Source organism: Homo sapiens, chromosome 4, assembly GCF_000001405.40.
Source record: "Homo sapiens chromosome 4, GRCh38.p14 Primary Assembly".
Classification (NCBI taxonomy): Eukaryota; Metazoa; Chordata; class Mammalia; order Primates; family Hominidae; genus Homo; species Homo sapiens.
In genome coordinates this window covers 172,809,171-172,836,449 of record NC_000004.12, presented here as the reverse complement: position 1 = coordinate 172,836,449, position 27,279 = coordinate 172,809,171, and the positions used below count along the sequence as shown (strand labels likewise).

The following is a 27,279-nucleotide window of genomic DNA, read 5'->3' as shown; positions in this document are numbered from 1 at the left end:
ATGCTTTGGAGCATGGCACTGCATAAAGTATTATTTTTGAGGAATATGTAGGAAACTTCCCCAGCCCAGGTAATGACATCTGTGGAGGAGTTTAACTGGATGTGAAAGGGAAGTGAAAGCTGACAGCTTGTGAGATCGTGCTCTTTCCTGGCTGTGGTAGTCACAGGGTTTTCTTCAGGTGGGAAAACTTATCACAGTAACATACATTTCAGGTGTTTCTCTTTTCTGCCTGCTATTGTAGAAGCAAGAATGGGCCATGCTGAACCAAGTGGGCAGAGTAATAAGCTGCTTCAGCCTTCTGCTGTCTACCTGATTGGGACTGGAATAGAGATCCTTTCTGGCTCTGCTGGGGGCTTGGAGAGGGAGGCAGAGCTGTTTCTGCCATTGCCCTGCCAGGCAGCAGAGATGACCCCATACCCCTGAGGAAACAGTGGCCCCGAGTTGCAAAAGCCCCATCAGCAGGTGGAGGTTCACTCTTCATTAGCCGGGCTGAACTTTGGGCATCATAGAGCATGGCTGGCCTTTTGGGGGTCTCTAGGTTTCCCTAGGAAATGAGGGAATTTCTTTGGAAGTCCTGTGGGAAAATGTTCAAACCGCAGTAATGTATTCAGAGACACGTCTATGAGGATTGCTGCGGTCAGTCCTGTCTACCTTACCTCTAACTTATCTGCTTACTCAGTCTTACTTTTTCCATTTCTGGAACCACAGCCATGATTTTGTCTCTTGGTATCCACATGGTATTCACTTCCTGACCAATCGGAGTGCATTCGGCTTCTTGCTACTCTCACTATTCCGGATGGTACACCCTGTCACCAGAGTTATTTTCCTAAAACACAGATACCATTAGTATAATGGTGGTTTGCTGCCCAAAAGCCTCTCATGGTTTTATTTAAAGAATAAAATCCACATTTTAAAGATTAGATTTAAGCATACCGTGTGTGGACTCCACACTGTATTTCTGGTTTTAACACTGACAAGAACTCCCCATGGAGCCAAGACTGTTAAAACTAGATCATTCTTCCTCTCTGGACCTGTCTCTGCGACTCTGCTCATGTTATTGTCTATACCTGGAATAGCTTCATCTTCCTCCACCTTTCCAAAACCTCCTCATCCTTCGAGGTCTCCCTCAAGTGCCAGCAATTCCCAGCTGGAGTTCTCTCGTGCCAGGTTGTGGGAAGTTGTTGTTAGCACTTTTTGTTTTGTGAACATGCTCCTCCCTCTCACTCACTTTGTTTCAAATTCCTTTATCAAGAGAAAGCCTTTCACTGCATAATGGAAGGTGTCAGTGCAGCTTCATCACTTTATTGACCTGTGCGACCTTGGTAGGGCAGAAGCTGGAACCTGCTCTGTGTCTCTCCTGTCACTGCTTTCAAACACTTTTGGTCAGCTTATCCTCTCCTGCTTCTTGGTGACATCTTGAGCAGGTTCTAGAACCTTAGGTATAGATGAATTCAAAGGAGAACAGTGTCTTCTTCAGGCATTACAGAAATCTCAATCAGAATAAAAACTATAATTTTCCCCCAGTTTAAAGTTTCTCTTTCTGTCACCCTCAACACAGTTCTCACTCATGGTTCTTGAACAAGCCATGAAGAAGATAGAGAACATTGTTTTGTCATTCTCCTCATATCACCATTTCTCCCTGCTTTGCTTCAGGCTCCTCCAGGGTGAGAGAAGGAGACAGTGGAGGAAAGCGGCCAATGGCCATTTGATTAGCTGGTGCTCTTTCTAGATCTCTCTTGGCTGTTGGGTTTCCTCTGTCATGGCAGGTGCCCAGATATTGGCCCTCTCCAAGGGTGCATTTGTCAGGGGCCACCCTGACATGATTGATGTCTTCCTGTCCAGCTGATCTCTTGGTTCCACCTCCCTCAACTCCCATGCTGGAAGGGCAGCCCATCCTCTTCTTTCCTTGGCAGGCAGTTCTCTCGGGCACAGTCCTTCAAAGACATTGCAAGCTTGGTGCTCTGCCCTCTTGACCTATTGGGAAGTGCCTTGTCCTGTCAGTGGCATGAGTGGTCAAACCACCAGCTTCTCCCTGATTGCCCATGCTTACCTCGCTGTAATGGGCAACGCCATCCATACTCCAGCCTTGGGACTGCTCCACATATAGGGCAGACACCTTCTCTCTTCACTTAGGCCTTCTAAACTCCTGGGCCATGTGGGGCTCTCATGGTTCTCAGCGTTTCTTTTACTTTCCAGTCCAGAGGTAACCCAGGGTGGGTCCACACTTCTCTATACCTCAGGAGGCTCCAAACAGAGAGTGAGATGTCTTTCCTCTTGTCAGTCCTTCTTGTTAAGGGATTCTTGGGAGTTTATTTTTATTTTTATTGTTTTTGAGATGGAGTTTCCCTCTTGTTGCCCAGGCTGGAGTGCAATAGTGCAATCTCAGCTCACTGCAACCTCCGTCTCCTGGGTTCAAGCATTTCTCCCGTCTCAGCCTCCTGAGTAACTGGGATTACAGGCATGCGCCACCACGCTCAGCTATTTTTGTTGTATTTTTAGTAGAGACGGGGTTTTACCATGTTGGCCAGGCTGGTCTTGAACTCCTGACCTCAGTTGATCCACCCATCTCGGCCTCCCAAAGGGGAGTCTTTTCTTGTAAATGAGGGGTTGGGGAAGTTGACTACTCCCTTCTGTCTTGAGTATTTAGCATCTCTCTGTGGAAAGAAGTTTTTGCCATCCACTGACTTCAGTTTTGAGACTTTCACTGTAACTCCAAGATATCAAGAAATGCTGTTTTTAATAATATTCTCTTATTGCAGAATGGGGCATTAGAGTTGGGGTTAGCTGCTTACTTCAGGAGAGAATGATAACCTAAAGTCACACTAACTATAAATGATGGGTATTTGGTCAAATCAGCCCTTGTTCCTAATTCTTATGGAGCTCAAGTGTGAGGGAATGAAGGTTTTGGAAAGGCAGAGAGCAGAGGAGGAAAGCCAGGAGATGCAGCTTATTGGAGCTATGGAGGGGTGAAGTAGGCAGATTTCACCTATTCCAGTTGCCTTATTTCGCCCTGTCTAGAGCACTGTTGGAATGATAAGAAAAGATGCCTTCCCCAGTTTTTCTTCAACTTAAGGGCTCTTTGGCATCCACTCACAGCAGTATCTTCAGAATGATAAATGGTTATCATTTCTCCCTTAAATTGCAGTTTTTCTACAAACTATCAACATAAGGTTTCCAGAATTACTGAGAAAAGAAAATAGTGGGCACTTTATAAATTTGGCTTACCGAAGAACTTGTATAAGCTGGATGCAATATACTTAGCTTATGGTCTGGTCTTGCGGCCAGGTGCAATGGATATTTATTATTGGGTCATCCCGGAAGAACGCCCATGTTCTAGTGTGTAACACTCCCTACCCCCCACCCCCAAGCGCACACACATAACACACACACACTCTCACCATATGGTTCTGTGGGGCTGCCAATCACAGTTCTTCCCACCTGGCCAGAGCCATGGGGGTGGAAGTGGCTGTGACATAGGCCTGCACAAGATAGGTCTTCCCTTCACGTTTTTCTAGCTGGAGCTGGTGGGGATCACCGCCCCTTCTTTCTGATGGCAGAGCTGTTAGATGGTGAGACAAGCACCACCTGTGGCCACGATTTTGTCCTGTCTAGTGAAAACCCAAGGCCTGGGAGGATGAAGCCACCCAGATAGGAGAGAGAGACGAGAGACAGAGGTGGGTCCAGGTGATATTCAAGACCGCGGCCCAGTTGTTCCAGGTGTGAGGCTCTGGCCTTTCTGGCACTGGGCTGTGTGAGCCCACTGACCCCCTTGCTCCTCAGGCTGTCTGCTCCTGGGGTGAATTACACACTATGGAGGAAGCCAGTCTACCGGGGCCTGGCCCAAGGTCATTCTGCTCTTCAAAGGGCAACTCTTTGGAGAGAAATTTTTGAGCCTGCCTAGTCACACATCTTTGCAGCTTAGAAGAAGAATGATGATAATTTAAACTTTATCACAGACACAGATCATTAAATTTGGGTTTCTTCCTGGTAGAGATAATAACAGGTGTTAAATGAGAAAGACCTTTAGAGTCTCCAAAAGCATTAGGATGGTCTAATTTAAAATATTTTAGCATGCTACTACACATTGAATGCCAGTTGGTGGAACCGCGTACTTTCTGTCTCTGTGTGAAATCCTAGTTCAGCTTTGTTGATGATCTGGGAGTAAGTAATTAACTTCCCACCATCCCCACACAACATCTGAGATAGGCAGATGTTAGCATTTTTGCTGTGGCAGAGAGTGGAGTCAGACAGATCAAGAAGTGAATCTTGGTTCCGCAACTTCATTTTGTTTTACCGAGAAGCCCAAGGTCCACAGAAGTAAAGCAATTTCCTCAAGATGACAAATCTAGTGTCCACGCAGGGCTTTATCCTTGCCGAAAGCTGTGATGGCTCCCGACTCAGAGGAAAATATGAGGCTCAAGGCTTCTCTTGGTTCAGGCTGCTCTGGCAAAGTACCATAGAGCTGGTGGCTTACACACAACAGACATTAATTTCTGACAGTTCTGGAGGCTGGATGACGGAGATCAGGGTGCCAGCACAGTCCGGTTCTGGGGACAGCCCTCATTTGGGGTTGCAGACTGCAGACGTCTTGTTGTGTCTTCACATGGTGGAGAGAGAAGGTGAACTCTGGTCTCTTTATTCCCTCAATAAGGGCACTAATCCTATCCCTGAGAGCTCTACCTTCATGACTTCATCACTTGCTAGAGGCTCTGACGCCAAATCCCATCATGTTGGGGCTTTAGGCTTTGACATATGAATTTTGCAGGGATACAAACACTTAGGTCATAGCAAGGCCCTTCAGACCCAGCCAGACCCCACATCCAGTTCCGGTTCCTGTCAGTTGCCAAACCTGTGATTTTTCCCCTTGGTGCTTTCACGGTTTCCTTACCCTGGAAGTCATCTTTCTTTCCCCATCTCCACCACCTTTCTTTATTTGTGCTGATCTTTCAAGGTGTAGTCCAAATCTCACCTCGCTGAGGCTTTTCTTGACGCCCCTCTCCAATTTTTTTCTGACCTAGTCCCTTTGGGCAGATCAATTTGGAGCAGTTTGCAGAGCATCTGCAGTACACTCGGTGAATCCTGGTGTGTTGCGGGTGTTTATGCATCTCCACTCAGAGAGCAGAGACAAGGCTTTCCTCATCTATTACTGTGCTTGGGTTCTAGGCCACTCTGCATTAGCTGCAGCTTCCAAGACTGAACAGCCAGCACCCATATATTTGCGTGGTAAATAAATAAGCCCGTGTCTTTTGACTCTGAATCTTTTTTTTTTTTTTTTTTTTTTTTTTTTTTTTTGAGAGGGAGTCTCATTCTGTCACCCAGGCTGGAGTGCAGTGGTGCGATCTCCGCTCACTGCAACCTCCGCCTCCTGGGTTCAAGCTTTCTCTTGCCTCAGCCTCCTCAGTAGCTGAGATTACAAGCATGTGCCACCATGCCCTGTTAATTTTTGTATTTTCATAGAGACAGGGTTTCACCATGTCGGTCAGGCTGGTCTCAAGCTCATGACCTCAAGTGATCTACCTGCCTCAGCCTCTCAAAGTGTTGGGATTACAGGCGTGCGCTACTGCTCCCGCCTGATTGTGAATCTTGTTTTCTGTTCATATCTACTTTAGGCCCCAGACATTTATCTCCACATACCTTTTTAACCTACCCTTGAGAATCTCTGAGATCTCTTTCTCTGGTCCCCACATCTTACACAATGGAGAGTGACAGTGCACTCCCTTCATGGGAGTTCAGTTAGAGGAGAGACCAGAAAGATTTTCTCAATCAATCTACTCACCTATAAATAATGCCACGGTGTGGCTGCTTGATGACCTTACAGTTAGGGTTTATTTCATACCTCTCAACTAGGGACACGTTGGGCATCCGGCCTGGATGTTATTCCTCTTGATTCCCTGTGTACATTACCTTTAATTTAGGAGTTAAAGCCTCCTTTGCAAAAACAAAGATTTTGACCTTTTGTCCGTTTTCTTTTAAAAACAATTCACTTTTTTACCAGAAGGTGGCAGTGGCAGTATAACACAAACAAAAGTTTGAGTAAACTGTCGTTTTTAATATTTTAGGCTCACTTCAGCATCACAAGCAATAGCAGTCCCATTCTGGCCTAGATTTCTACAATAATTCTGAATTTAAAAATAGAATCTTTCTAAAGATTTGCTCTATTGGTCATCTTTTTACTATCAGCCATTCGCATATATTTTTTCAAACTGTAAAGTTTGGCCCTGATTATATATAAGAATTCCTTTATCTCTGCCATGTCAAAAGTATAAAACAAAAGAGCATCTTTAGGAAAAATTCTCTTTATCTATTTTACTATGTGCATTCATCTTAATGAATTTTTAGTTGTTACTTTAAATTCACTATATTATGTTAGCTAAGATAAAATTATTTGGGCTATGGTGTGACCTCAGATGAGAAAAATAGGCTTTCGGTGGAATTTATTTGAATACACATTCTAGATATATGTATACTTATGGGGATATTGTCTTTCAAAGAGTTATTTCAATCTTCCAGAATTATAATTTATTTTTTAGACTCAGCATTCTTTGTGGAATTAGATTTCCTTTGATTTCGTTTCTCAGACTTTTAAAATTATCCATATCTTCTAGGGAATTTCTCAAATAAAACTGGAAGAAAGTATTCATCAGACCAAGATGAATTTTATGTCTCAGGAGCCAAGAAGTAGTTTGCAGGATGTGCCTAGTTAAACTTTTAGATACCAAGAAGCAAAGGTTGGAAGTACATCAGGAAGTTAGAAATCTATTACTTAAAGGCTATGTCTACTGCATTTTGTTTTCAGAAAAGACAGTGAGTTGCAAAATGTTCAATTATGGTGAATAAATACTTGCAATTTAGGTTATTCCAATTCACTTGTGTCTAAATACGCATTTGAAGTTCTTTGGTGTATTTTCTCCTTCTAGAGGCAAGAGGAATCTTCCTACTACAGATCCCATGCCCTGCATCCCCATTTACTTTCTAGTAAATATTTTACCTTCTTCTTTCATTGTGCTGCTCAAACATGGATATCAGATTCCAGAACCTGAAGCAATGAGGTGCCAAAGGATGGGTAGAAAGAAAGATATAGCCCAGAGTATCCCTACCAATACTGACTCCAAACTCTTTCCTTCATCCAACAAATAGTAGGTACCATGAGGAGTCACTGTGTGAAGTTCCAGCCAGGAACAGGCAGACACGCTCTCTGCTGACATCCTTGTGGATCTGAACCCTGCCTCTCTTCCTCTCCTGTCTGTGTTTTGCGCTCCGAAGAGTGCATGTAGGTGGATGGCGAATATCTTGCATGCCTTTGTCCTGTGTTGTAACTCTTCTTTCTCAGGTTGCATCTCATACACATACAGAAGGGAGAGGATGTGAAGGCACGGGAGTACACCAGAGCGATGCTTCCACAAGCCAAGGAATGCATGCAGCTTGGAGAAGCTAAGAGAGGCTTGGAACAGATCCTTCCCCAGTGTTTCAGAGGGAGCATGCATAGCTCCGCCGACACCTTGACTTAGGACTTCTTGCCCTCCAGGACTGTGAGACAAGTTTCACTTACTTCAAGCCTCTCAGTTTGTAGTACTTTGTTATGGAAGCCCTAGGAAAATAGCCCAGATTTTGGTTCCATCTTTTTTGCTTTATAGCATGAGGGATTTCCTTGACTTTCTCCTCCAGATTGCCAGCGTGGACTTTAGCCTGGTTCCTTCTATTATTTGGTTCATCCATTGAATCTTTTCTTTTAGTTATCATATTTTAAATACATGAGAATTGTACTTGTTCCCTTTCTACACAGAAACTGTTCTAGATTGTGGATGAGGATAATTTGATTATTTAAAATAAGTATCTTTGTTTCTTCTAGGTTCTGTTGGTTTATTCTGTTTTTTTCTCTTTTTTTATGCTAATTTAACACATGATGGTGATCAGATCATACATTTGAAGAAAAGACTGGTAGGCTCATAGGATCCTGTGTCTGGGTATGTGGTGTGGAATACCTTGATGGAAATGGTCCTTCCCTGACAGCAGGGCTGACTGTGGCCCCTGAGTGAGGGGAGGCATAGGATGACAGGCAGGTTTCCCTCCCTGTGGGACGTGGGGTGCAGGGAAAGCAATTGACAAAATAAGGAGGGTTTAGTCAGGGTTAGAGCACTTCAATGTTTTTTTTGTTTGTTTCTTTTTTTTTTTTTTTTTGAGATGGAGTCTTGCTCTGTCACCCAGGCTAGAGTGCAATGATGCAATCTTGGCTGACTGCAACCTCTGCTTCCCAGGTTCAAGTAATTTTCCCACCTCAGCCTCTCAAGTAGCTGGGATTACAGGTGCCTGCCACTATGCCTGGTGAATTTTTGTATTTTTAGTAGAGATGGGGTTTCACCATGTTGGCCAGGCTGGTCTCGAACTCCTGACCTCAGGTGATCGGCCTGGCTTGGCCTCCCACAGTGCTGGGATTACAGGCGTGAGCCACCATGCCTGGTCCTCTGTATTTTCCTCCTAAGCAGAATTGCCTTTCCTTTCTTCCTTCAATGTCTAAAGTGCAAGCAGAAGGCTGCTTATTTTTTATTCCTTGCTCTACCACTTAAAGAATGCAGTGAAAAAAAACTTGTATAGTGAGATAGTATTTTTGAAAGAAAGTATTATTGATAAAATTTTTCTTCTTTATTTTTCTTGTTGCATTTGGCTTTCCACCCATGGAAGCTCAGGCTTCTTTTGCTTTAGAGGAAGGCAGTGCACCACCAAGAATAGGAAAGTCACTGCTCAGCTTGGCTTTCAAAATAACATAGTATCGAAGAAACAGAGCTTTCATTTGCAAGAGCAATGATTTGTTGAAAGCGGGAACATGAGGTGTTGGTTCCAACAAATCAAAGTTGGGAGGTTTTGGCCCAGTTCTAATGGATTGTGGTGGGTGGAGTGTGGTAGGGAGACAAAGACTCCAGATCAGCTTTAGGATTCCAGAACATAGAGGGATTGTCCCCACTTCCTCCCTAGAATTCATGGTTTGCAGATACCTCTAAGTAACATGCTCTATGCCAACATGAGGAAGCTCATTATAATAGAATGAGTGGCATGGTGTGGTTAGGCAGACAGAGTCTGAGATAGGGCCTCTTGGTTCTCTGTAACCCGCAAAGGGTGGAATTCTTGCCTGTTGGAGGGAAGGGACCAGATGAGAGTTGAAAGCTAGAGAACCTGCACTATGAAGCAGGGTGAAGGGACTCATCTCTGAGATTTGCGGCTGAACAAACCAAAGCTAGGGCTCAGTAAAAGCCTGCAACCGGGCCTCTTGGACTAGTCCTTAGCCAGATCTTAGAACTTAAGTAGAGCTGAGTCAGTGGGAGAGTGACCCTACCATGCAAGAGAGCAGATGGAGACATGACATCTGTGGGCACTCTATCAAGTGAGGACAAAGCCTCTTTTGAAAGGTCTGCTGCATCCAATCTGAAACTAGCTGAGGCTAGCTGAGAAAGATAAAGCATCAGATGACACCTGCCCCCCACTGTGACTTGGCCCATGATCAAGATGCCATCCTGAGAGTGGAGGAGAATGGAGGAAAGGTGAGCAGAGCAGTTTGGAAAGGAAAACAATCCCGGCATGGAGTTAGACTTTTGAATTGACTGAGTTTGAATTGGGAATTTACTGAGAATCTACCCATAAGAGACCAAGTTCTGGATCAGAAGAAATACACATTTAATTGGTGAGATCATCAGGGGCTCACTGCTGTCCAGTGACCTGAGATTCAGGAAAGAGGGCCGTGCTCTGGTCTTCTTTGGATGTTCCTCTCCCTACGGGATGGGTAGTCTGGAGGCTAAAGGGATGTCCCGTTCCCCCCATCCCCACAGGCTGCACACCTTTTGTGAACTGGGTTTTCCAGACTGCATTATTCCCTGCACAAAGGATTCTGAGCCTGCTTCAAATGCCTGAGTCATTCCATTATTATTTGATTCTTTTTCCATGGGCTGCTTTCCCGTGGTTTGGAATTTATATCCTTAGGGCTGGGGGTTGGGCAAAGGATGGCTATTTTTGTAGAAGGAATTAGATGTGTGGGCTTCCTTGTCCACCTGCATCGTGTGTGCCCATGGGCTGTGGAGGCACAGAACAATTAGGAAGGGAAGGTGTGGGCTGTGGGCTACAGTCCTGCCTGTCCGCAGGTGCTGCAACAGCTGAACGGACGCTAAGGAGCAATTCTCCATGCATCCCTACTCTCTGGGTTGTTTTGAAGGTATATTGATCAAGAAAGGAGGACAGAGCAGAACCCAGTAGTTTGCTAGCTCAGTTTATAAACTTCCAAATACTTAGCCATATGCCACCTGAGCCTTCATTTGCACTCTTGTCCTGGGCCCAAATGTGTTGGGAGCCAGCCTGCTGCTCACGGTGGAAGCAGGACTCCAGGGCTTTGCAAGGCTCATTTATGGAGATAAAAAAAAGTTACATTCATGCCCACTTGAGTTGTAACTGTATGTTTCAAACCTGCTCCATATGCTACAATTATCATCTATGAGATGGTTTCTATTACTACAAAAAGTTAAAATGTAAATTCTTGGAGCAGTGTTAAGCAAAGGAAAAAACATTTAGCTAGGCTGTATTCTTCATTAACTTTAAATTGGTGGAATGGCTGGGGGATAAATGTGGGGAGGAGGGAAATATGGCCTGATCCCACACTAGCTTCTGTATGTGCAAATCCCAGTTCTCTCAGCTACGCACAGCTTTCCCCTACAGTTTCCCTCCTCTTACATGGTATTCAAACCTGCTTTCTTTTTTTTTGTGGCTTGTGATGTAATCATTCTTTCTCTCATGTGTACTTTTACCTTATCCACCACTTTGCTCAATTTCTCCCTTTGTGTACCACTTCTAGAAGGCCTTGGATGAGTTTTCCCACCAATCCAGTGCAGGCTGGGAGATCCTAAGCTCCTGCTCTCCTGCCCTGGCTCACCTCAATCCCAGAAGCAGGATCTGGGCAGAGTCTGGGGCTTCCAACCTAGTTCCCACTGATAGAAAAACACGCTAACATGCTGGAGGAAGACACAGAAACGGCAAACATCTTTGTGTTACCATCGAGCTCCATCAGTGAAGAAGGCTGGAGTGGGAAGGTGCCCTCAAGGTCACTTTTGAATCAGAATTTGCAACCTGGAGTGGCCAACCAGCACGAGCCTTTCCACTGGCAGCCTGGCCTCAGCCTTTCCACTGAATTATGCCATATAATCTCCCTCCCTCCCGCAAGACTCCATTTTGTCTCATTTTCATTGGCACTCCAGGACACAAAAACAGACATTTCTTTCTCTTAAATGTATTTCCAGGTGGATCTATACCAAGAAGTATTAGACCAAAAAGGAAAGAAAGGAAGAAAGAAAGAAAGAAAGAAAGAAAGAAAGAAAGAAAGAAAGAAAGAAAGAAAAGATAACCAAAAAAAAAAAAAAGAAAAAAGAATTGTCCCACCGATTTAGCATCATAGTCATTTCTTGATTATTTTGTTGAAGGCGGGAGTGATGATCTTGTCAAAACCAGTGCCTCTGTGGATGTAGCCTCACTTCAGATACTGAGCTTAGATCCAAATAAATAATCCAAGCAGCAAACAGTAAAGACTAATGACTTCTGTCACATATAAGCTCATGAAAGTCTGTTACTTTTCTAGTGTCACTCAACTCTATTTACATCAGGGGAGTATGTGCGGTACTGTTTTATTTTTAAAAAGTTTTGCTCTGACTTTGTTAGAGGATTGAGATAGGGAATTCTCTCATTTCTGAAGCCTTCTCACCTGAAGCCAATCTCACCTACCTCCACGAGTGATCCTGAACAAAATCAGCCCCACTGAGAAGACAGCAGCATAGACTCAAAGCCAGATTTTGTTTCTTTTTCACTCCTATTATTTATATGTATCCACTTTGTTTAAAAAAGCAACTTACATTTGAAGCAATTTACAAGCAAAATTTACACATACACAGACACATTGACATACACCATAAATAATATATATACTCACATACACATATAAATAATATAAATATATATAAATAACCTGATCCCAATTTATTATTATAACATATATGTGCACACACACACATGAACACACACACACAAACACACACACACACACACTCACACACACACACACTATACCATGGAAGTCAGGTTCTGACTGAAAGCCCTTGTGGCCAACTCTGTTCTTTCTCTGTGGCAGAGTAACAGAGTAATTCAGGACTAGAGAGTAATTCAGGACTAGAGACTGCTCGCTGACCCCTGGACACAGATTACAGTTTTCATCATTTCTTTAAATATAAATACTGCAGGCTTCAACGGCACACCACATGTAAGGCTTAGTTTTCTTCGCTAGACTTTAGAGCTATACATATTGTTCAGGCTTGTTATGCCCTCCCATTCTAAGGGCATAGTCTACACATATGAGTTCTAAGATTATACTCGCCAACAAGCCCACTGGCCCTTCCCAGCCCTGCTCTCGAGCATGGATTTTTGGTGAACTCTCTTGAAGCCCATTGCCCCCAACAGCTTGGGCTCTAGGTGGAGTCTAGAATCTAGACAGCACAAGATGCTCATAGCATCTTGTTATTTGTTAGAAAAGGACAGAACTGAAGATCAATATCATCTCCTGGCCCCCTTGTTAAAGATGTTATCTCCTAGGTTGTGGTTTTAAAAATGATTTTAATTTTCATTCATGGTGTAAAGGACTTCAGGAATGCCTTCTATTTTTTCTAAAAGATTTATTTATCATCTTTGTTCTTTCTACATACTGGATAAATGCCTTCTGCTGTCTTCTTCATTTCTTCCTTTTCTTCTTTACTTTCTACCACTCCCCTATCAGAATTTATGCTCCATTTAGGCTGCTCTGTGGGTCACACCCTACAGATAATTGTGCTCAGTCCTGCCACAACATTCTCTGCAGCTAGCATCCTTTTCTGAAAAACTGTCATCCCTTTTTCAAATATACACAACCTTATCTGACCACTTCTTCCAATCTTAATATTTATTTCATCCATTCAATAAATATTGTTGAGTGTCTTTTATGCACAGAGACTAGATGCTAGTGACACAGCACTGACTAAATGGAAGAAAGCAGAGCTCCCTGCCCTTATGGAGTTTACATTCTAATACTGATGTTGAAATGATTAGGAAAAAAGAAGAGTTGTTGAATTGAGAAGGAAAGCAAAGAGGAGAGCAGAGCTGAAGGTGATATTTTAGCAATGAAGCTTTGGGTGAGAAAATGAAGTGAAATGAAGCTAATATATAGGCCTCGGGCCTATATCCCTGTCTGCAGGGAGGGAGGAGGAAGAGTAGGTGAATGGCAGAACATTCTGTTTAATTCTGCCATGCTCTGGTATCATGTTATTGGGGCAGAGTCAATATTGCTGAACTTCAGGTGCTGGGAAGGGGGCTGTGACAGTTATTTTCACAGGTGCATGGAAGTTTCTCCCTTAGCTAAAGGGAGCAAGATTTCAGTTAAAGAAGAATGGGGAGCCAGAAAGAAGAGAGTGGGGCATTATATCCTAGAGGACAGAACCCATGAAAATGCCCAGCTAAGGAATAAATGAGATGAAGTCAAGTCACATCTTAAGGGTAGGGAAGGGACACAGCAAATTACCCTCACACATTAGACAGACAGACAGACTCAGGACACCAGTTGGGGAAGCAGAACAAAGTGGATAATAGTTGATATAACAGGTAAATGGACCAAAAAAACCCCTACGAAAAACAGTCATCAATCCATTCATGAACTTCACAGTTCAACACATAGGCAGCCATTGCTATGTCTTAGGTGGTGCTGTTTTATCTTTAACTATTGGGTGGTACTGGAGGTCTAGGGGTGGTTGGCATGAAGAATTCAAGCCCTAGCCTGACTACGGAGGAGCTGTCTATCCTGGCAGCAGTGAAGCAAGACCAAGAATGAGATCAGAAGTCCAAAATTTAAGAGGCGATGTTACCAAAGAAACACAGAGGATAGTTAGAACAAAAGTCACCGTAAGGTTTGGGTAGAGAAGAGCAGTGCATTCTGGAGTTCCAGAGAGACCATGGTCCTGAGTGGCTGGTATGCAAGAGTGAACACCTCTTTCAGGATGGATGAACAGGTCTCACCATCTTTTAAAATAGTGCACATAACCTACCAGGCTACCTATGATTGAATGGCCCTTACAGAAGTCGCAGTGAGAAAAAAAGTGGTTCAAGAAGCTGGATACATGGTCAGGAACCAGAAAGATGAGATCTCAAAGCCCAAGCTATCCCAGGAACCCAGAGATCTCAAGAGACCAAGACAAACTGAAGAAAAGCAGGGAGGTACAGTAGAATAATTAACAGGGATTGCTAATTTAAGGATTAATTTTATTAATGTCATTTTCACTGTTAAATGAAGGAGAAAGTCATAGGGAACATCCTGTTGAGGTAAAGATCACACCCATAGGGAGAGGGAAGAAAGAAGCAGTCATTTCTGACCCTGACAAAGGAAAAGAGATTGTTGCCACCCCTTACGGAGAATTTCTTTGTCAGATGTGATTTCCCTGGAGACTGGGGGCTCAGGGCAGCCAGGGGCCTCCAGAGCCAAGCAATGGGGGAGGGGGCTTCAAAAGGAGAGATGGGTAATTTACAACTTTGCTTTGGAACATCTCTGCCCATGTTATACTATTTTACTTTACATTTAAAAAATCTTCAGTGAGTGTTTATTCTGGGCTTTCAAAGGAGATTGATCTTATTCAATATTTTGATTAGTTTTTTAAACACTTGAGCCATTTTCTGCTCCTTTATTCTCACCTTCTGTAGATTAGGACACCATTTAAAAGTTTGACAGTCTTTTCCCTAAACATTTTGTCCTTTTGCAGTTGTTAAATATTGAATTAGATCTTGTTATAAACAGACCAGAAGCTGGCATTGTTGACATTTCCCTTCATTAGTAACTGAAAGCTGACATTTTCAACCTATCAGCTCTAGTTTGGTCTAATGATAAGAACACAGTATGGGGAGCAAGGCAATCTGTTTCCTTTCCTGCTCTTATTATGAACTCACTATGAAACATTAATTGACAAAACTACTTCACTTAGCGGGTGCCTAAGTTTCTCTTACAAGGAGAGTAAAAGAAAATTATTGATTAACCCTAGGATTCAAAGTCTGAATGAATGAAAGAAGGCATTAACTTGAGTCCTATGAGACCATTGATTAAAGCTAAGATTTGAAATCTGAATGAATGAATGAAGGCATTGATTTGAGTCCTGATTTTGTCTCTTATTCATCACGATAGTCCCTTCATTTCTTTGGTTCTCACTCTATTTGCAAAATTAGAAAACCACAGTATCTACTTTAACCCATTTGAAGGGATTATTACATAGAGTTAATTAGATAATATAGTGAGGGCTTTACATACGGTGAAGTGCTAAACAGATGTTAGTTTTCGTATTACATACTACATAGGTTTCATGAAATAGATTCTTTGGCCAGTTTAATTGAGGGGCTTCTGGAATAATGAGAAGTTCCGGCAAGATCTGTGGTTGTGGTTGTGGAGAGCTGAAGACCTAGTTAACTCTCCTGGAACTTGTCTTTAGACTAAACTGATGAACATAGATTCTAATCTAATCCCTCAAATGTTTGAAACTTCAGTTTTGAAACCTCAATCATAGAGAATTATGTGGTTGGAGGCTGAGGTCAAGGAGCACATCTTTTGGTATTTTTATGCATCAATTTGATTTTTTGAGGAGAAAAGGAGGAAGATTTGTAGCAATTGCATGGAGATCATGCAAAATTTGTGAGAATATTGACTTGACTTGAGAAGCAGGGAATGAACAAAGTTCTCCCACTCTACCAAATGGATATTCCAGGCTCTGGAGTTGTCCTAATAGGGATGGGAGAGAATAAAAGGGAGAATGAACAGTATCTAATTAAACTTAGAGGTGAAAGTGGAGAAAACCCCCAAAGTTATCCTTCTAAGCTTATATTCTATATTAAATTCTCAGTTTGACCAGTCCATTTTTCTGTGGGAAATCAATTTCATGCTTTACTGATTTTGATTAAATGTAGAATTACTAATATTGGGTCAAAACTTATGTGGAAAGAGTTTTGTGTAAAATAGATTATCTTTACTTTCAAATTTTGAATAGGTTAAGGTAACCCTAACCCTCAATGAAATTTAACCCAAGTGGGATGCTAAAATTTTGAAGGTCAATTAGTGCCATCAATAAGGTTCTGATAAAAGCTAATAGTTTATTCTAGGCATCAAGTAAGTTGATCCTCAATCTGTTGTTATCTCCTTTGTGTTAATAAAGTGAAGCTTCTATGCCCACCAAGGAGAAGGAGCCCCTCTTCCTCCACATTAGTCAACCCAAGCCTGGGTCCACGGCTTTATGAACAGAGGCTTGATCTTAGCCTTACTCACACTCTCCACTGGGCACCCTTGTGCAGGCACAAGTCTATCTGTGTGAGGCAGACCTGGAGTGATTTTGTTTGACCCAGTGTCCTGAACGTGTTTTGAAATAAGACTTGCTGTAAGGACTGGTAAAGGTCAGTGATGTTTTGGCTTTGCGATATTCACTTACCAGCTGCATTGTCGTGTTTTAGGGAAGAAGTAATTGTACTCTCTGAAGGTTTTTTCCCTATTTGAGTATGATTATTCCTTAACCACTAGAGAATGTGTCTTCTCTAAGTAGAATGGGAGGTGAAAATCTCCATGGAATCGTGGGAATTCTTAGCTCTGCTTTCTTACTCCTATTTGCTGTGTAAACTTAGGAAAACTGCTTAACCTCTATGAGCCTGAATCATCTCATTTGTAAAAATTACATATTTCATAGGCTTGAAATAAGGATTAAATGGGTTAGAAGATATGTAAATTTCCTAGCAAAGTGCCTGACCCATAGCAGTAGACATTTAACAACTGTTAATTTCCCCTTCATCACGTGTGAAAGAAAGACTAACATGGAATGATGAGTCAGCAACCCCAGATTCTAGTAGTAGCTGTTAAGTTAGCTAGTGGTGACACTGGGTAAGTCATTTAGACTGTATAGCTTAGGTTTCCTTTTTTGTAAAAATAAGTTGAATTGTCTCTATGGTTTTTTCTAGCTTGATGAATTTATGATTATTTGTACTTTTTTCTGATTTTATTCTAAGCCTAAATTTAGCAGAAAGTTATATTTGTTGCCTAAGAACCACTGACTTTCACACGGTGTTGTTATCAGTACTTTCTCACATTCTTATACAAGAAAGAGAGTCTGCAAGTTCTGCACTGTGTGCCTTGGAAGAACAATGGAAGGTACTATCAGTAAATCTATAGAAAGCATTCCACTTTCATGTGACAGTGTTACAACTCTCTGTAGCAAAGAGGTAGAATTTTCCCCATTTTAGCATGGGCTATGCCTCACACTTCTGGACTGCAGAACCAGCTCATAAGGATCTCACCTTTGGCCCATGTCAGAGGATCTTTCATGTCTGAAGTGCCTAACTTGAGGTCCTTGGCAATGGGTCACGGCTATTGCTATCCATGCCTAGGGACATTTGAAGGCTAGATATTGGCCCTGGATGAGGAATTACTGAATTCAAACTGATATGTCTGTGGAACATAGTGGTTTCTGAGAGAATAAAATGGATGATTGTGGCCAAGTGCGGTGGCTCATGCCTGTAATCCCAACACTTTGGGAGGCTAAGGCGGGCAGATCATGAGGTCAGGAGTTCAAGACCAGCCTGACCAACATGGCAAAACCCTGTCTCTACTAAAAATCCAAAAATTAGCCAGGCATGGTGGCGTGCTCCTGTAATCTCAGCTACTCAGGAGGCTGAGGCAGGAGAATCACTTGAACCCAGGAGGCAGAGGTTGCAGTGAGCCGAGATTGTCCCACTGCACTCCAACCTGGGTGACAGAGTGAGACTTTGTCTCCAAAAAAAAGGATGATTTTAGCCTGTGAATTTCCCCGCTGCTGTATATATGTATTTATTTTAAGCATTTTGGAAATTGATGTATACCATAGATGGAAAATAGAGAATGTCAGTTCTCACTAATAAGTCTAGGCAAGAATTCCATTGATGGTGATTAAAACTCTTAGTTCTAGAAGTCTTTAAGGAATTGTGAAGCTCTATCTGAGGAAGACTGGCAGTGCAAAAATAATTTCTCCACAATCACAAAGACAGAATAGAGGTGGATTCTGAAAAATATAATCAACTTGCAAAATTGAATAAACTGCTGAATCGATTATTTCTATTTAGCAAAAGGAAGCATGATAGCTAGGAACCTGCATAAATTCTCTAGAAATTAACTTGATTTTTATAGTTGACAGAGTCATGTATTAGGGCCTGGGTACCTGATATACTGGATGGACTATTTCATGCTGCCCTTGGAGACAAGTTGGAGAAACGTTGGCAGCAGTGAAGTGAATTTACATGTATTGAACCATTACATCAACGAGTGTGAACTTTTACAAGATTCTAGTAGACCTGGAAAACATGGTGATAGAACTGAAAATATGTAGCCTGGAAAAGAAAAATGTTTTGTTGTTTTCCCTCTTGGGCAGTATAGGCATGGCAACTATTCTCAAATATTTCTAATAGCTCTGTCATTAAAGACCAATTAGATATTCCTCGTATCTCAAGTAGGACAATTTGGGATCAGGAAGGCAGAATTTTCTTCATACAAGGGAAAACATTTCTGTCAATAAGTCTAACAGAAACGACTATCTTTTGAGGTAGGAAATTTACTTTAAAGATGAGTTACTGCAGAGGTTGGATGCCTGTCTTGGACATTGTTTAGTGGTTGCTCACATTGAAGGGAATTTGGACAAGATAATTTCTTAGGGCCCACTCTAAACTTTTAGAAAGCAAATGAACATCTTTCTCTTTGTCATCATGGCTGAAGGAGCATATTATGTTTTGTCACACAGAAAAGTCTTTCATTGCTAAGTGCCCTGAATTCAAGATGGACCAGTCATGAGAAAACCTTCTAAAAGCCATGAATAACAAGAATTTCCTCAAAGCATTACATCATGATAAAAGCCACCAGAAAGAGGGAACATTCTGGTTTCTTCCTTAATAATAACCCAAAATATTTCTTGTTTATTTTAATTCAACTTTTTTTTTTTGCAATAGGGTCTCACCCAGGTTGAATGCAGTGGTGTGATCATGGCTCACTGAAACCTCAACTTCTTAGGCTTAGGTGATCCTCCCACCTCAGCTTCCCAAGTAGCTGGGACTACAGGCGTGCACCACCATGCCCCACTATATATGTATATATTTTTTTCGTAGAGACAGGGTTTTGCTATGTTGCCCAGGCTCGTCTCAAACTCCTGGGCTCAAGCAATCTGCCTGCCTTGGTCTCCCAAAGTGCTGGGATTACAGGTGTGAGTGACTGTTCCTGGCCCCAAAATATTTCTTCCTTTCTTTTTTTTTTTTTTTTTGGAGACGGAGTCTGGCTGTTTCTCAGGCTGAAGTACAGTGGTGCAATCTCTGCTCACTGCAACCTCTGCCTCCCGGGTTCAAGCAATTCTCCTGCCTCAGCCTCCTAAGTAGCTTGGGACTACAGGCACCCACCACCATGCCCGGCTAATTGTTGTATTTTTAGTAAAGGCGGGGTTTCACTGTATTGAACAGGCTGGTCTTGAACTCCTGACCTCAAATGATCCACCCACTTCAGCCTCCCAAAATGCTGGGAATACAGGCGCGGCCACCGTGCCCAGCCAAAATATTTCTTAAATGTATCCAATCCAACAGGAATTATGACCACCATATAATAATTTGAATCATGAATGCTGCCTTTTCTCTTATATTCTAGTAGCAGTTTGTTGAAAAACAGGATCCCTTTGTAAATATCAGTAAATATTTTCTTAATGCTCAAAGTTATCCATGAGTTTTCCTTTTCTAGTCAGATTGTTGAAGGCCTTGATTCCTAGTTTAGAAAGTTGGTACATGATGACCACTTTGACTGTGTAGTCTATGTGAAGAAATACAGTTTATACCACATCAGGTTCATATATGCCTTATAACTGAAATTGAATATTTGAGAAATGACACTTATACCTACCCATTAGTATAACATTCTAAAATTTTCAATTGAATTCAATCCAATTAATTAATAATTAAATACTGTTAATGCCCCACTAATTTCACAGAATTTTCAGGTTGGAAAACACTGCTATAATCACTGCTATAATAGTCACTGAAAATTCAAGTAATGGCAGAATAAATTAGATAATTCAAATCTTGTCACTTAAGACATTTGATAAACTTGCTACAGAAAGATAATTTTTGCATCCTTATTGTATGAAAAATACTGGGGTTTGAGATACGTTTGCACATTCTTCTTTGTTTCCCTTCTTCCTAGCCTTTCAGCCTCCTCTCCCTGTCTTCCCACAGAAAACCATACACTTTGGCGGCAGCCTCTTGAAATGTGGAAGACTATAAGAAAGCTGTATAGATAGACTGCCTTCGTTCTGTGTACCTTAAAGCTTTACAGCTAGAGAAGCAAGTTTTAGCCTAAAGCTTGTCTGTTTATGAGCACATTCAGGTGACTGCCGTGATAATGAAATTGCCGATACGCTGCTCAGAGCTGCTTGGGTAACCATTCTTTTATTATCAGGAAGGCAAACACGGTTTATAAGATCAAAGTGGACACCTCCTGCAAGTTACATTTATTACAAGAGGCTAAAGTGTCCACATTCCTAGGAATCAATAAGACTTAAGGCAGAAAGATAGTAATATGCAATAGATGAATGCAAATTTTGACAGTTCAACAACCACCTACGTAGGGGACAGAAACAAGAGGTAACCTAGTTCTGAAAGTTACCAATTCTGCCAGCTCTGTGGTTAAGCAAGGTGCTTGATATTGTAATAGCCATAGTCAGAGTCAGCCTGACAAAAATGTTGACTGTCAGTGCAGGCACTGAGAATACTTTTATAACTGTCTCCACTGCAGATTCCTCTGACGGCATTTTGATCCTACTGTTTCAGGAAGCAGGACCCCTACTCTGCTATCACAGTGCAAATAAAGTAAAGGTCATTATAACCAGTCACTATCACGGTATTTGGAAAGCCAGCCTGGGTGAGTTCTAGCCCTTAAAATGTGTACTTTCACATCATAGCGGCCGAACTGTGGCTCTTCTGCTGTGGGCCAGCACCTAATAACAGTTCTACCACGGTTAAGGCCCTTTTGTACTCCTCTCCACACGCATGTTTTAAAAATTTTTACATTTAAAACGTTTTAAATTTATTTTCTTTTCTCATCTATATTTTAAACTGACATATAAAAGTTGTATATATTTATGATGTACAACATGATGTTTTGAAATACGTACATATTGTCGAATGGCTAAATCAAGCTAATTAACATATGCATCACCTCACAACCTTGTCACTCGTCCCACCTTAAGCCCCTCTGTCAAGACTTTCAGATGGTTGCCTTCAGAGAAGTCTGAAGAACATCTCTCAGCTAAGCTCACTTCAAATGCTTATTAGAAACACTTTGCTTAGATTACTAAAAAGATTTTCTAGTAGTTTTGAATACCCATGAAATTTTGGCCAAAGCATTTGAGGAAGTAACAAAGGTCCTTTATTATTTCTTTTCAAAAACTCTCCAGTAAGTATCACGTCAAAAGAGGCTGAACTCCAGAAGCTCTGGATATTTAATGAGAGCGCTTCATTTTACAAAAGAAACGACTTCTCTCGCGTGGTATCAGGCTAACGTCTTCTGAAATTCCCTTTGCTTCCCCAGGAGTTCATTTTTCTAAAGACTAGAAGTGTAGGAAATATTTTCCTGATCATTATGAAATGTTGATTGTAATTTAAACTGTTAGTGTCAAGGAAGTGGTTTTCGTACTCAGTAGCTTCTTTACTGCAAACTTTTATGGCCCATATTATTGATGAAAAGACGATATTTTTAATGCATTTTAAATGGACTCAGAGTGTGCAAAGCCTTGATCACAGACATTTTTCTTGTACTAAGAAAAACATATATAATAGTTTTAAAATAACAATTTTAATGATATCAAAGGGTGCAGTATAAGGAATAGATATATAGTATACCTTGGATAATCTCTGGGCTAACTGTTGGAAAAAGTTTACCATTCACTATGAAAGGTCTTGATAGTCTGTCAAACTAAACTATACATATTTTTTCTTTTTCTTTAAATGCATACTTCTTATGTCCACACTGAAAAAACAGGATGTCGTTTGGTAGAAATTAATCATTAGATCATTGCTGTACATTCTTCTCTGTACAGGATGTACTTAAATTAGGGGCAGGATTATCAAAGATAATTGACTCTGGGTATATCACTTTGATTGAATTCCCCATGTTTCAGTTGTGGGAACACCTGCTTAGGAGCACGCTTCCGTTATAGGTACACAATTTCAACAGGGTATAGAAAGTAGGCTTAAACACTGGTTCATATTTTATATCAATTTCTAATAAAAGAAAAACAAAATAGTTGTTTTCAGTAATCCTTTAGGGAAAAGTCAAAAGAACAGAAACAACTGAAAATAAGAAAGCATCTAAGAAGGGAACATGCCTTCCTTTTCTATGTATTTTCTGTTTATGCATTTTCCTGGTTCTTTCATCTGTACAGTTTCATGCTTAGCAAAGTTTAAGAAGGGGTGTTCCATGAATTCGATACAGCTTGTAATTTTCTACAGGGTGTAGGTCTGACCTTTCTGTGATGTTTTGCATATTGTTGCCGCCTGTTTTATTCCATTTTGTTAGAGATAATTGTCTTCTTGAGCCCAGGTTTAACACTGCAATGAGTTACCTGCCCTCACCCCCTCGGCCCCTCCCTTGGCTGCTACTCACTCAAAAGGGTCGCTGGGATCTGCCCTCTGGAGCTCTGGAGGGATGGGGATTCTTTTGTAGTACATTTCCCAGTCGAAGGCTCCTCGCATGGCATCCCCAGCTTGTGCCTCATACCCGAAGTGATTGTGGTCAATGACATCGATCATGGGACACACGATGGTTTTGTGGTTTAGTGCAATTTGGTCTGAAAAATGAAAGCACAAAATAGGAAATGACATGCCTGCCTAGGTCATCTATCATTTTTCAGCAAAGAGAAGCCTACAGTCCTCCACTAATGCATAATGCTTGCAGCCGTGGCTCCCTGTCCTCCTTAGAGCCCTTTTCAGGAATCTCTGAATTCTGGACTTAATGTGATGGGACAGCGATTAGGTCCAATTAGAGTTGTTGTATTTTCCTTTAAGAAAGTTATGTCCCAGAGAGACTTGCAGAAGTCCATTTAGCTCTACCTCTGTCACATTTTTGCCCTGACCTGTCCCCAGTCTGTCATTTTATCGTGAATCGAACATGTGCAGAGTATAAACAGTTATTGTGTTCTTTCAAGCATACTGCTGGAGCCTGCTGAGAAAATACTGGCCTGCTTTCTGGAGGTTCCAAAAAGTAAATATTTAACTTCATGGTTTTTGTAGCATCTAATTTCATAACAATCATGGTGGCTGCTCCCCTATAAATGCTGACAGATCATACATAGAATTCTTTGCTCTCAGGTTTGCCAGAGATTTTTCCAAGTCCTATTTTGCCACTGTTCTTGAAGCTAAACTCTGTTGATCAAAGCTATACATTTTCTTCCCTCATCATATTCGAAAAAGTATTAGGTGATATTATACTACTGCGATTACTTCTGCTACTCTTAAATTCTTGAACAACTATAAAGTGATTTATTCTCATGCTATTCCTAATACTCTTAGCAACCCTGTAGGGTAACTATTATTGTCATCCCCAATTTATGTACGAGAAAGGTAAGATTAGGGAAATTAAATAACTTGTTAAGGGTTATGCAGCTTTTGGGAGCAACAACCAAGATGCAACCTCTGCTTAACAATCCAATTTTAAACCTGACCTTTCGAGTGTTCCATTGTGCTTCTCATGGTAGCAGAGAGGTGATTTTTTTTTTTTTTCAGTTCCAACACCTTCCTTTCCTGTGTGGCTAAGGTTATTGTGATGACATTAACAGCTGGCAAAGGGCACTGGCATTTGCATCCTTTGGTTTAGCTAGAATAGCTATCTGTGAGGTATCTTTCTTTCCAAGAATGTGAATTTAGTTAATATTTATTGTAAGAGACCAATGCTGTCTAATGGGCAGAACTTCTTGTTATTCGGAAGACCTTTAGATGTGACAATAAACAAATAAACAACAGATATCATTTAGCACAGTTACGAAGTTTGGTTATTTCCATAACATATTTTGTTTCCCCAGAGATTGTGGAGTAAATGTAATTTGTGTTGGGGATAAAGTTCTTGCAGTAAGGAAACTGTCCGTTTGCTTCAGAAGTTTCTCTTAAGCATGGGATAAAAAGTATAAGGTTTTACTGGTTATAATAAGAAGTGGCTTTATTTCGATGACACTGATGAAGCAGGGGATGGAAACCACAGAATTTTGTGAAAACTTTCCCCTCTCGGTCTATATGCCTTTCCATCCATCCATCCATCCTTCCATCTGTCTGTTCATCCATCCATCCATCCATCCATCCATCCATCCATCCATCCATCCATCCATTTATCCATCCAGTCATTCTTTTCATATTTCAACAATTATTTATTGATTAGAAACTACGTGCTAGTCACTTGTTCTGGGTTCTGGGGATACCATGATGAATAACATCACAAAAATTTCTGTCTTCAGGAATGAAGCAAAGACAATTAATAAGCATAATAAATAACTAAATTATATAGTGTTTCAAAGGTGATAAATGAGATTGGAAAAAATAAAACAGGGGAAGGGGAATGCAGGATACTGGAGTGTGGAAAGGGTTGCGATTTTAGAGCATGGCCCTGGTAAGCCACAGAGAGCTAGAAGTGGGCTTTGTCTTACTTTAGTTTAATTAGCAGATGAAGAGACCCCCCAGCACCATTTCTAGTTAATCTGCACCAAGGGATGGCTAAGCATTTGTTTTTTACCAGGGCAAGCCTTATAATGGGTTTTACTGAATGGTATTTCTATTCAGTAATATTTTACTGAATGGTATTTCCCCAGAGATGTCTTTGACAGAGGAGACCATTGTTGCTGGGTCCAGAATATTTTTTCTCTCATCCCTGCAGGTATTTTAGTATTAAGGTTTCAGTGACTTTCTTCAATCAAATTCAGAATCAGGTTGATTTACAAGTTCCTTGACCATCAAGGAGTCCCAAGGTGACCCAAAGAGAATGTGTCTGTTAAAGTAACTGTCAACTTTTCCTTCAAATTTCCTTTTCACTCTTATCCAGCTGTCCTAGCTTAGGTTGAAAGCAGCATGACTAATTTTTCATCCAAGGCTTGTGCCTACATTTCAATTTCCAGGGATCAAACAAACAGACTTAATGGGAAACTGAAATTCAGGTATAATCCCAAGGTGAAAAATGAGCCAAGAAACTGTGTGGCTCTGCCTGTTTTTTCACTTTGGATGATGTGTCAAGACACTGATAGAGGAAAATAAGAAAGATAGTGATCCTGAGCTTGAATCATTTCTTATCCATCAGGACTACAGGAAATGAAATACTTTAATGAGAAAATGTGGGTTGTGGGTTTCTCTTACTCTTTTTTTTTCTATCTTCTTCTTTTTAGTTAGATTCATAGTGAACAATCAGAGACTCAATAATTGGCATTTAGGGATTTGCTTTGGTTCATAAATAAATTAGGCCTTTTGCTGACTTCCTTGAGTATTCAACACCATATAGGTCAAATTCTGTTTGAGGGAATCTCACTGTTGCTGATGAAGCTCTAAATTGCTGTGTCCTTGGACAAGGTACTTTTAATTAAAGGCTCAGAGGAGTCTCTGACTGCAGGGGCACCAAAACATTCAGTTGATTAGGATAACTGGGCAGTTACCTGTGCAGGCGTATGTGGCTGGGCAATGTGGTGGAGGGTGTTGGGTGCTGGTTATTTCCTGTTTTAAATCCTACACAGTTTCAATTGATTTCCCCGCCCCCCCGCCTCACATCTTTTACTAAGGGAGCTTTGCTGGTTCTTGCTGAAAACCTACACAGTAGTCAATAGCAAATTGTTCTTTCTGAGACAGCTATTGTGAAGGCAGTTGCTAGTGACTTTAGTTCCAAGGCCAGGGATATTTTTACAATAAAAGTTGATTTAGCAAAGTGGGAAAGGAGAACACACTGTGTGCACCAAGAACTTTTTAAAAGGAGGGTTTTTTTTGTTTTCGAGCTGACAATTTATTTCTTATCTACAACTGGACTTTATATTTTACTTCATTTTAAAACAAAAGTAATGAAGCTTGAACTGAACCACATGTATGTTTTCTAGCTTAAATTACTTTCAGTTCTTTCGTGTTTCTAACAGTTCAAGTGTGTTATGACATAATCTTCTTTCCCTCAGCTTAGCCATATTGTGAGCATTTAAGACATAGCACCTGGACAGCTGCACTGTGTTAGAAGGAATCTATGTAAATACAAAGAACTGTATATTTAGGGCTATAGGATGGTGCCAGAAGTGGAGAGAATAACAGAAAAGAAACGGCATTTTAAATCCTAGAAAATGTCAAGGTGCTTCTACTTTAACTGTATTCTGGGGATGAATAATTTTCCTTCCTCTTTTCTTAACAATCCTGTAATACTTGTTCAATGTGTGTGTGTGTGTGTGTGTGTGTGTGTGTGTGTGTGTATTTTAATCTTGCTGTAGCTACAGGATTATAAAAGAGTTTTGGGACACGTTTTTCTTTTAGTGTTCACCCAGTGAATGTGACTACACTAAAGGAGGATATCTAAGATAAATGAAACCTTTTCTAAACTGTAAGTTAGATTGAAGTTGATATTATTTAAAATGCCAATTTTATGGCATTACCTAGAATACTGCCTAAAACAGTTACCTAGTAAACTGTTTTCAGCAGTGGTAAATATAAAATTCAAGGCTTCCCCTGGAAAACTTGTAGAAGGGACCTCTAGTGTTTGCTGATTGCAAACTAAATAGAAGCAAACCGCTCAGTTCCCCTGAGGCATCCCAGGATGGTGCTTAGCAACCTGTACTCACTGAGGAGTGGGGGCAGCCAGTTCACATTGACCTCGCAGTGGGAGTCCAGGAATGTCAGGACTTCTCCTCTGGCCATAGATGCCCCCAGGAGACGGGTCCGGATGAGTCCTTCTCTTTTCTTGGTGCGAACAATCCTCACTTTGGAAAATCGGGCCATGTATTCTTCCAATTTATCCTTCAGGTGTTCTAGGTAGGAAGTAGAGAATGCATAGAAAAAACGCAAAACATTAGTTGCAGCTGAATTATTCACGGTTGTTTGTGCATAGAGAGTATGTGACTGATGAATCCTGGGGTAACATTCTTGTCTCCTCATCTAGATGGGAGATACTAGTAAGATTTTTAGATTTTACACTTTCCAGAATGCTTTGTAAACTGC

The 27,279-nt window shown here is 41.2% G+C and overlaps 1 protein-coding gene across 8 annotated transcripts in view, besides 1 other annotated feature; it reads right to left on the bottom strand.

Moving 5' to 3' along the window:
• The window catches only part of GALNTL6 (polypeptide N-acetylgalactosaminyltransferase like 6), a 1,228,156-nt gene that overhangs the window by 205,110 nt on the left and 995,767 nt on the right, over positions 1 to 27,279 (bottom strand). For all 8 annotated transcript variants that reach the window (NM_001034845.3, XM_017008243.3, XM_017008244.3 and 5 more), the window contains 2 exons: positions 26,904 to 27,089; positions 22,727 to 22,910 (listed from right to left, as the gene is read on the bottom strand). In NM_001034845.3, the coding sequence (NP_001030017.2) occupies positions 22,727 to 22,910; positions 26,904 to 27,089 (370 nt within the window). The remainder of the gene's footprint in view (positions 1 to 22,726; positions 22,911 to 26,903; positions 27,090 to 27,279) is intronic.
• Positions 26,642 to 27,169: an enhancer, noted in NCBI's record as "OCT4-NANOG hESC enhancer chr4:173730432-173730959 (GRCh37/hg19 assembly coordinates)". NCBI's record gives its function as "activates a minimal SCP1, AML or CMV promoter by ChIP-STARR-seq in naive H9 embryonic stem cells {active_cell/tissue: H9 hESC(naive)}" and the evidence as "EXISTENCE:reporter gene assay evidence [ECO:0000049][PMID:30033119]".